The 9,426-nt window shown below is 58.7% G+C and overlaps 1 protein-coding gene across 4 annotated transcripts in view; it reads right to left on the bottom strand.

Moving 5' to 3' along the window:
• Positions 1-5,335: 5,335 nt before the first annotated feature.
• The window catches only part of FADS2 (fatty acid desaturase 2), a 51,152-nt gene continuing 47,061 nt past the window's right edge, over positions 5,336-9,426 (bottom strand). For all 4 annotated transcript variants that reach the window (XM_047427889.1, NM_001281501.1, NM_001281502.1 and 1 more), the window contains 4 exons: positions 9,312-9,408; positions 8,904-8,983; positions 7,413-7,538; positions 5,336-7,052 (listed from right to left, as the gene is read on the bottom strand). In XM_047427889.1, coding sequence (XP_047283845.1) covers positions 7,001-7,052; positions 7,413-7,538; positions 8,904-8,983; positions 9,312-9,408 — 355 coding nt within the window. In that variant the 3' untranslated portion in view covers positions 5,336-7,000. The remainder of the gene's footprint in view (positions 7,053-7,412; positions 7,539-8,903; positions 8,984-9,311; positions 9,409-9,426) is intronic.

The raw sequence follows: 9,426 nt of genomic DNA, 5'->3' as shown, positions 1-9,426 counted from the left end.
CTTTCTGGAGTGGGAGCTGGGGTCGCCCTACCAGCTGCAGGGGTTGCCCCCTACTTTTTGGGCTTCCATTGGCCTGGACTGGGTTCTCTTTGGGAGGTGGAAAAGGCGCAAATTCTGCCAATTTTTGTTCAGCCCCTCCAAGGCCCATCCTCCGTGGGACGGAGCTGGAGGGGAAGCCCCACTGCCCCATCAACCCGCCCCCTACTCCACACACATACAAGGTGGCGCTGAGTGTTGCTGCCCATGAACTTCTCTTCCGAGACAGCCAGAAAGCTCCTCAGTGCTAAAGCTGATCACCGTAGTCTCACACCTGCTTCCTCTCTGTGAGGAGGGGCCGTCTGCACATTCCCATGGACTCTTGCGGCTCTTCCCAGGGGCTCCCCTTCTAGAAAGTTCTCTCTGACCCGCAGGGCTCCTCCCCTTCCCTGCCCAGCCTGTGACTAGGGTCTCTGTGACGGCACCTGGAATACTGACATCATTTGCTGCTGGAGGCTGGTGGCAGCCCAGAGCCTGGCCCGGGAGACCCTGGGGTGTGTTTTCTGAGAGGATGACAGACAGGGTGTTTGGGTCCTGCTTCCCTCACCCTGACTTCTGGGGCAGGAGAGCACTGGGGGAGGTCCTGTTCGGCTCACATAATCTCCCAGACCCAGGAGCAGACAGCCCAAAGCTCCCTATGGCCTCCCGGCCCAGGGCAGTGCCAGCAGAGGCCTCCTGGTAGGGCCAGGGAAGCAGAGGGTGGCAGCCCCTTCAGCTTGGTTGTGAGTGAGATGCCTGCCCTCCTCCGGGTGCCACCCAGCCCCACCGGATCCACTCAAGTCAGACAGACTTGGGGGTGGGGTGGGGTGGGGGCAAGTCCTGTTTCTGCCAGGACGCAGGCTGTGTGACCTTGGGGGAGTTCCTTGACCCCGAGCAGCAGTACCTAGGGTGATGGAAGAAAGGCTCTTAGCAAAGGGCACAGCAGCAGGCTCAGTTTATTCACAAATTTTGTGCACACAACCCAATTCCCCAGGATGACCATTTGCTCTGTCACCTAGGGCAAGTTCTTTTTTGCCTTCCCTGAGCCTCAGTTTTCAGCCGAGGGTAAGATTGGATGCTCCTTGAAAGGTACTTCCTGCCTCAGACACACGCTTCTCATGGCCAGGGCGTGCCTTGCATTCAGGGTCTCTGCACAGGCTGGTCCCTCTGCAGGGACTCCCCCTTCCTGTCACCGCCTGTTTAAATCCTGTTGGCTCCTAGTGCCACGCGGGCGCCCTGAGCCAGCGCAGGCTCCGAATGGCATTCCCTCCGTCCACACCCTGGTAGAGATCGCTGTGCGCTGGCTCCGAGGCGCTCGCCAGGGAGATGCTAACACCGAGGATCCACGACAGCTGAGCCTGCAGCGCCACCCAGGGGCGCCCGGAGCATCTGCGCCAGTGTGGGGCGGGCCGTGCTCCCTACTGTCCCTGGTAACTTGCTTTGCGGACCCCTGGGAGGCCCCGCCTTCAGCAGCCACTCCTAGATTTCTCCAGACCACCTGGGACCCATCACTGGCAGGGGAATCTTTGCTCTTGTCCCACTGTCCCCCATGCTAGATCCCCTGGGAACAGGTCACCCTCAGTCCTGAGCTGAGCTCCCCCTTCTCCATCTGTAGGTCTCCTAGTCTCAGAACAAAGGCTTAGGGCACAGGGGCCAGGTTTGTAAAAGGAAAGAGGCTTTGGTGGAACCTCTGAACCTCTGAGAAACCGTGTTCCTTTTTTATTGTCTGTACAAGAGGCGTGGGCCCGGAGGAAAAACAGCTCCCGAGGGAAACCATAACCGCAGTGTTGGTTTGTTCCTTTGATCATCAACATTTGCTACGGGTCTCCCAGCCCAGGCAGATGTTGGAAATGATGATGCCCAAGAGCCAGCCCCTGCCTGGTGTGTTGGGAGTAGCTGGAGGGGAGCAGGGCGTCAACAAACTCTTTTGTGACGGGACAGGCCATGGGTTTCTCAAGGTTCCTCCCCCCACCACACTATGTCCTCAGGCAATGAGCCACCACAACTACTGGGAGCTTGGCCTATTCCAAGCTCTTGGCTGCTGTCACTCTTTCTCTTGGACACTTGCTCTTGAATGGGACGATTTAGAAGAAAGACCTGAACGCCTTTAAAATCCAAAGCAAAGTGTTTGTGATGGTGGAGGACGATGGGGACGTGATCCTGAAATCTCAGCACGCTGGGGGGCTGCTTGTTCCGTGTATGCACTGGCCACATGAAGCCAGTCTGCTGAGAAAAGGAAAACCAGTCCCGAGGGCAGTGGCGTTTCAGCCTGGGGCAAGCCATCCCCACGGCGCCCCATTTCCCTCTCAGATGTTGGAACAGGGACTCTTTGAGAGGCAGCTTCTTTGGCCAGAGGGGCACACCTCTCGGGGGAGGGTGCAGCCTGGCTCGCTGAGGAGTCCCGATGGGCCCAAGGCACTGTGTCACATAAGCAATGGCCAGCCACTCCTGATGGCAGCCCAAGCCCAGCCCCAGTGGCTGCCAGCTCTGCCCTGGTCCAGCTTGGTAAAGGCTTCCTCTCCCCTCCGAGTAGGCACGAGGGCTTCGGAGTGTCCAGCCAGACACCCCGAGGATCCGCCTGTGGTGCCACAGCACCCTCCCCCGCCCCACACACACACAGCTTAGACTTGGGGCGCTGCAGATGTCCCCGCTACCCACAAAGCTGATACCCTTTTATCTGCGTAGCTACACTGCCCTTATCTCCTCCTCAGAGACTAACTGCCCTCCACTGCCCCCACTCCTCCAGCCAGCCGCTGGGCCTCCTGGGAGCTGTCTGACATTTGACGTGATGGGGGCAGGGTCTGGGAACCAGCCCTTTCTGTGCAGGAGAGGTGGCCAGGAGCCTGCGGGTTAGGAGCAGGGTCCTGCTGCTGTGTGGCCTGCGCAGTCCTGTCCTCTCTCTGGGCTCAGCCTCTTCGCCCATGATGGTGGTGTTGGGGTTTGATTGCTCAGGGCCTTGAATATTGGGGCACCATGACTTTGGCAGGGGATAGGGATTAGAAACTCACAATTCTGGGTGTGTTGGCAAGGGGGTCAGCTGAGTACAGGGACAGGAGGGGGCGGTTAAGCAGAGAGCAGATATGAATGTCCTCAGCTTCTTGACCCAGGGAAGTATTCAAGGGCAAGGCGGGGCTGGGTGGGGCTGGGGAAGTCAGAGAAGCTCCAAGTGCCCGGTGAGGCTAGGCCAAGATTTATCTGGTGCCCTCATAGCCCCAGCGTCCATCTGGCCTCCAGTATCCCCAATTCCAAGCCCCCTGGTTGTTATGGGTGATGGACCCATGGATTTCCAACTGGTAGGGTTGGGAGGCCTGGGCTGGTCGCCATCCTGGAGGCGGGTCACAGGCACAGGGCAGAGGGTGGGAGCCGTGCCTGCCAGGGTCTTGTAACCTTGAAGGCCACTGCCAGCGGGTCCACCAGGAGGGCAAGGCCTAGGGTAAGCGGGTGTTGAGATAATGGCATCCTTGGGGCCCCTCTAGCCTGCCCCTGTGGACTATGGCCCACAGGGCCAGGGAGGGCAAAGGACTCCCCAGAGCCACTTGGTGAATCTGGGGTGAGTCGGCCACCTCGCTCAGGGCTTCTGTAATGCCAGGCCCTACTCAGGACACCCTGTGGCCACTGGGGAGCCATACGTACCCCAGCCAGTCTGCTGGCTGTCCCTACCTGGCTGGATTTCGGCCAGGCAAAGCGGGGGTCAGGGGAAGCAGGCGGGGGCTGAGGTCTACTCAGGAGCCCTCCCCAGCCCTGCTGGGAGCAGCTACAAAGCCAAGGGGAGGCCCCAAGGTGTTAACTAGCCAGTGCCTCTTGGCCCTTCCTTGGCACTTTCCCAGGATCAGCCCTGCCAGGAAAGCCAGCCCAGAGATGATGACGGAGCAGCATGGGGGTCCATGGGAGGCCGACTGTACAAGTGCCCCTGGCATGTTGCTTTAGACTCTTCCCAGCCTCTGGGGTCAGACAGACCTAGGATCCAATCTCTGTGCCTATGAACTGGTGACCCTGGGCTAGGATGATATCAGCCCCCCCCACAGCCTGTGGGTTCTGAATGAGCCATTGCATATATGGGCACGGGAGCCACAAAAAGAATCATCAGCCTCCAGAGCCTTCTTCAGCCCCCTTTTAATTTAATTTAATTTATTTATTTATTTATTTATTTGAGACGGAGTCTCACTCTGTCGCTAGGCTGGAGTGAGCGATCTTGGCTCACTGCAACCTCTGCCTCCCAGGTTCAAGCGATTCTCCCGTCTCAGCCTCCTGAGTAGCTGGGACTGCAGGCACGCACCACCATGCCCAGCTAATTTTTTTTTTTTTTTTTTTTTTGAGACGGAGTCTCGCTGTTGCCCAGGCTGGAGTACAGTGGTGTGATCTCAGCTCTCTGCAGGCTCTGCCCCGCCGGGGTTCACGCCATTCTCTTGCCTCAGCCTCCCACGTAGCTGGGACTACAGGCACCCGCCACCTCGCCCGGCTAATTTTTTGTATTTTTAGTAGAGACGGGGTTTCACCGTGTTAGCCAGGATGGTCTTGATCTCCTGACCTCGTGATCTGCCCGCCTCGGCCTCCCAAAGTGCTGGGATTACAGGCGTGAGCCACCGCACCCGGCCTAATTTTTGTATTTTTAGTAGAGACGGGGTTTCACCGTGTTAGCCAGGATGGTCTTGATCTCCTGACCTCGTGATCTGCCCGCCTCGGCCTCCCAAAGTGCTGGGATTACAGGCGTGAGCCACCGCACCCGGCCTAATTTTTGTATTTTTAGTAGAGACGGGGTTTCACCATGTTGGCCAGGATGGTCTCAATCTCTTGACTTTGTGATCTGCCCGCCTCAGCCTCCCAAAGTGCTGGGATTACAGGCATGAGCCACCGCTCCCGGCCTTCTCCAGCCCCTTCCAAGGAGGCCAGGAATTCTGTTTGGCCTGGCGCTCTGTGGAAGCTGGCTGGCCCAGGGATGGGAGGGCAGATTGCACTTGGGGAGACAGCTGGGGGGGGAGGATGTTAGGAAGAGTCTCTGCAAGCCCCTCCATGCCACCCTCCTTGGGTAGGGGTCAGCTGCTGAGAGGTGGCTCTCAGCCCTGTTTTAGAATTGGGCTGGGGTCGGCTGCTGAGAGGAGGAAGATGGGCCAATGTTTTTGGGTCATTTCCACCAAGTTCCGGGCCCCAGAATGAATTTCAGAGGCAGCAGGGAGAGGCGGGTGGGATGGCCACAGGGGAGGGAGGGGATACAGAGAGATGCAAGCATGGGGACCCCTCCTGGTGCCCAGGCCCAGCTAGAAGGGCCTCATCTATCACCCAATACCATGGCCTGGCATTGGCGTGCAGGAAACACAGGAAGTGAGAATAAAATTCCTTATTTTATTTCAAAAAATGTAGGGGTGGGGAAGTAACATGATAAACATTACGATCAGCTCCCTATGGGTTCATTCTGCCTCTGCGGGGGTCGGGGGCATACAGTAGCTGGGGGGCATGCCATTGCCATGGCAACCCAGATGCTTAGATGCAGGTCCCTCCTGGCTGCTTAGAGCTGGGGGGACTAGGCGCCCTCCCCGAAAGCCCCCATTCTGAGTTGTTGGTGCCTGCCCTTCCCCTGAATCTAAGAACTGATTAGTGGGTTAGACTGCAACAGCAGCTCAGGATCCTCCCAGGACTTCCCTCCCTCCCCTCTCACTTGCCCGTCCCCTCAGCTACCAGCACCTCCAGCCCCCACCTCCTCCTCTTCTCAGCTCCACCCTGGTCCTCATGAGGTACCCCCTCCCCAGCCCCTCAGGGCAGCCTCCTCCTGAGACTCCCTCCCGCTCTGCCTCCCTGGCCCTCCCTGACAGTCAGGGCCACCGAGGCAAGGCCATGTGGTGAAAGGCAGATTGTCACAAGGCCCAGCCCTGCCGCCCCCTCCTATCAGAATGCATCCTGGAGCAACAGGTTAAACACAGTAAGGGCAGGTTCAGACAGGAGAGTGCCTGAGGCAGCGCCGTCCACACAGCAGCCCCGAGATGGGGAGGGCTGGGACGAGACCTCCCAGCTCCAGTGCCCTCCTGCAGCCTGCAGGGCCCACGTCCCCTGGGGCCAAATGGCCAGGGATTGGCTGGCACTGCCCAGCTGATAACAGAGCCTTTGGAGAAGGGTCAGATTGCTCCAGAATCTTGGACCTCAGGACACCCTGAGGAAAAGCTGGAGGGTGGGCTGAGCCTCCAGGCCAGCCGGCCCCTCCCTGAACGTGGCCACTGCCTCTGCTGAGTCACAAGAGACGAGGGACTCCCCCTTTGGTCCCAAGGTCACAGGCTCAAGTTGGGGAGGCGGTGGAATGGGGCCCGTGAAAGCCCAGGGTCAGAGCACTCTAGTGATGGGGTGGAGGACTCTTCCAGGGCCCAAGGTTTGGGCTGGCTGTGCCCGCGGGCCTGGGGCCCTGGACATCTTAAGAGAGGCCTCGGGTACTTAACCGAGCTGCAGGAGGGAGACCCGAGCTTTGTAACAAAGCAGGCCTCTCTATGAAAGGGTGGACCAATGGCAGCCGTCAGGGAGAGTGAAGCCAGGCCGGGAGGGTCAGGGGCCCTGCCCGACTAGGACCTGCCCCTATGAACCCCAAGAGCATCTGAAGAACCAAAGCGGGGGTGATGCCTAGTGACCAGGCTGCAAGGGGAGACTCACAGGCCAGACCCATGGACCGCTGGTCTCCTCCCATCTTTAGGGGCAGAGAGTGGAGGTAGGACAGAGCCACCCCCGGTGGCCACCTCTCTGCTCCTTGGAAGAAGGGGCTAGGAGGCACTGGGAGGGCCATGGCTGATGGCTGACGGCTGAGGGAGGGCAGGTCCCATGAGGGCAGGGTGCTATGGGGGAGATGTGAAGAGAAAAAGGAGAGGAGAAAGGGAGAAAGATCCAACATGGGGTCCGTGAGCAGTGCATACACCAGCCTCTCGGACACCCCTCAGAACAAAAGCCCATCATTCCTCTGGCCATCACCCCACCTGCACCCCTTCCCCACGGTGTCCCGGGGGCTGTGGCTTCATTTGTGAAGGTAGGCGTCCAGCCACAGCTTCCCAGACTTCTTCAGGGACCTGCAAAGTTGGGGATGGACCAGGGTCAGGGACCAGGACGGGAGTGGCCCCAGGGAGTGCAAGGGCTGAGGAGGCCATCATTAAGGTGGCATGTATGTCCCCTTGGCCCTAACCAGGGCTTACCACTGCCACTGGGCCTGTGGGGCTGTCAGCTCAGAGCCCACCAGGAACCCCACACAGAAAGGGATGGTCTTCTCGCAGCCCAGGGAGAAAAGCCCAACAGCTCCTAACACAGGCTCGGGAGTAAGGCAGGTGCCCTGGTGGGTGACTGTGCCAGGAGGGCCCAGCCCCTCTTGTGATCCCACTGTCTGCACCACGGGTGATCCCAGGGCCCAGCGCCTGTGGACCTCCACCCCTCACCTGATGATGTCCAGCAGGGCCCTCAGTAGCGGCTTCTCCTGGTATTCAATGCCATGCTTGGCACATAGAGACTTCACCAGCGGGGCGATCTTGTGTAAGTTGTGCCGGGGCATGGTGGGGAAGAGGCTGAGGAGTGTGTAGGGTGGGCAGAGCGTGAGGACTCAGAGGGCCATGCTGCTCCCGCTTCCTCCCACCACCTGGGCAGAGGCTGGCTGGGGCCCTCAGAGACCCTGTCCACAGCCAGGACCAGTCTCAAAGTGTGGCTCCTCGTGTGTGCCCAGTGGGGTGCCACGTGTGTGGAGGGGAGGGTGCAGCCCTCCGTGAGCAGGAGGGCGTTTGTGCTCTATGGAGCTGGGAAGATATTGGGTGGCCAGAGACAAAGTGTCATGTTTTTCAAAAAAGAAATGAAATAGCTGGGGAATGCTAGGAAAAGAGGCAGTGAGGTGAGGCACGGTGGCTCACGCCTGTAATCCCAGCATTTTGGGAGGCCGAGGCAGGCAGATCACTTGAGGCCAGAAGTTTGAGATCAGCCTGGGCGACACGGCAAGACCTCTTCTCTACAAAAAATAAAAATAAAAAATTAGGCCAGGTGCAGTGGCTCACACCTGTAATCCCAGCACTTTGGGAGGCCAACGCAGGTGGATCACTTGAGGCTAGGAGTTTGAGACCAGCCTGGCCAACATGGTGAAACCCCGTCTCCACTAAAAAATACAAAAATTAGCTGGGCGTGGTGGCACACGCCTGTAATCCCAGCTACGTGGGAGGCTGAGGCCTGAGAATTGCTTGAACCTGGTAGGTGGAGGATGCAGTGAGCCGAGATTGCGCCACTGCCCTCCAGTCTGGGCAACAGAGTGAGATTCTGTCTCAAAATAAATAAATAAATAAAAGTAAAAAAAAAAAGAAAAAATTAGTTGGGCATGGTGGCACGCACCTGCAGTCCCAGCTACTCAGGAGGCTGAGGTGGGAGGATGACTTTAGCTCAGGCGTTCGAGGCTGCAGTGAGCCAAGAAAGCACCACTGCACTCCAGCCCAGGAAACAGGGTGAGACTCTGTCTCTACATTTTTTATTTTTTAATAAAAAAAAAAAAAAACAGTGACAAGAGGTGAAGCAAGGACAAGGGGCAGCAGGGCAGTCCCTCGGCCGATGTTCCAGGCAAGCTACGTAGCCCTGCCCTGCTAGCCTCACAGGGTCATGAGGTGCGTGTGCAGGCTCCATAACTACAAAGTCCCAGGCCCACATGGAGGGAGGTGGTAACCACTATGACCAAGTGGCACAGCATGAGGGGCACAGGATGACCCTCAGGGAGATGGAATAGGGGAGCCCCTCTCCTGACCTCAGCGGGGCTGGCTGGGAGCCTTGCTCTATATTGGGCAGAGACCTTGTCAGAGAGACAAAGAGGTGGCCCCCACATTCTGCATTCTGCCCAGTGGGATAGCGGCCACTTCCCTCCCGCTGTGGGTCTCCCCGCCTCCCCGCAGCCCCGCGCTCACTGGTGCTCAATCTGGAAGTTAAGGTGTCCACTGAACCAGTCGTTGAAGAAGGACTGCTCCACGTTGCAGGTGGCTGTCAGCTGTCAGTGGAGGGGATGAGTGTCAGGGAACAAAGGAAGGCCCAAGGGCCCGGCCTCATTCCCAGGGGGCCCAGCCTTACCCAGGGTCTCCAGGCCACCCGTCCACATCATACCGTCCTGCCTGATGGCCTCAGCCCACCCAGATGCCCCACCTGTCCCTCTGGGGGATTCCTGCTGCCCTTTCTTGCTCAGCCCTGAAGCTCCCAGCAAAAGGACACAGGCAGCCCCGGGAGGCCCAGCACAGCCCTGTGTTAGCAGGTGCAGATCATCTGGGGCCAGGACATGGACATTGGGACCAGGCTCTGGTGACCGGCCCTGACTTCCCTACCTGGCTACTGAACCAGTCACGGTAGGCCTCCTGGTCAATCTCCATGACGATGTGATTCATCTGTGTGACCCACACAAACCAGTGGCTCTCCAGGAACCTGCAAGAGAACACAGCT

The sequence above is a fragment of the Homo sapiens genome, chromosome 11 (assembly GCF_000001405.40).
Source record: "Homo sapiens chromosome 11, GRCh38.p14 Primary Assembly".
Taxonomy (NCBI): Eukaryota; Metazoa; Chordata; class Mammalia; order Primates; family Hominidae; genus Homo; species Homo sapiens.
This window is presented reverse-complemented; position numbering and strand designations above follow the sequence as displayed.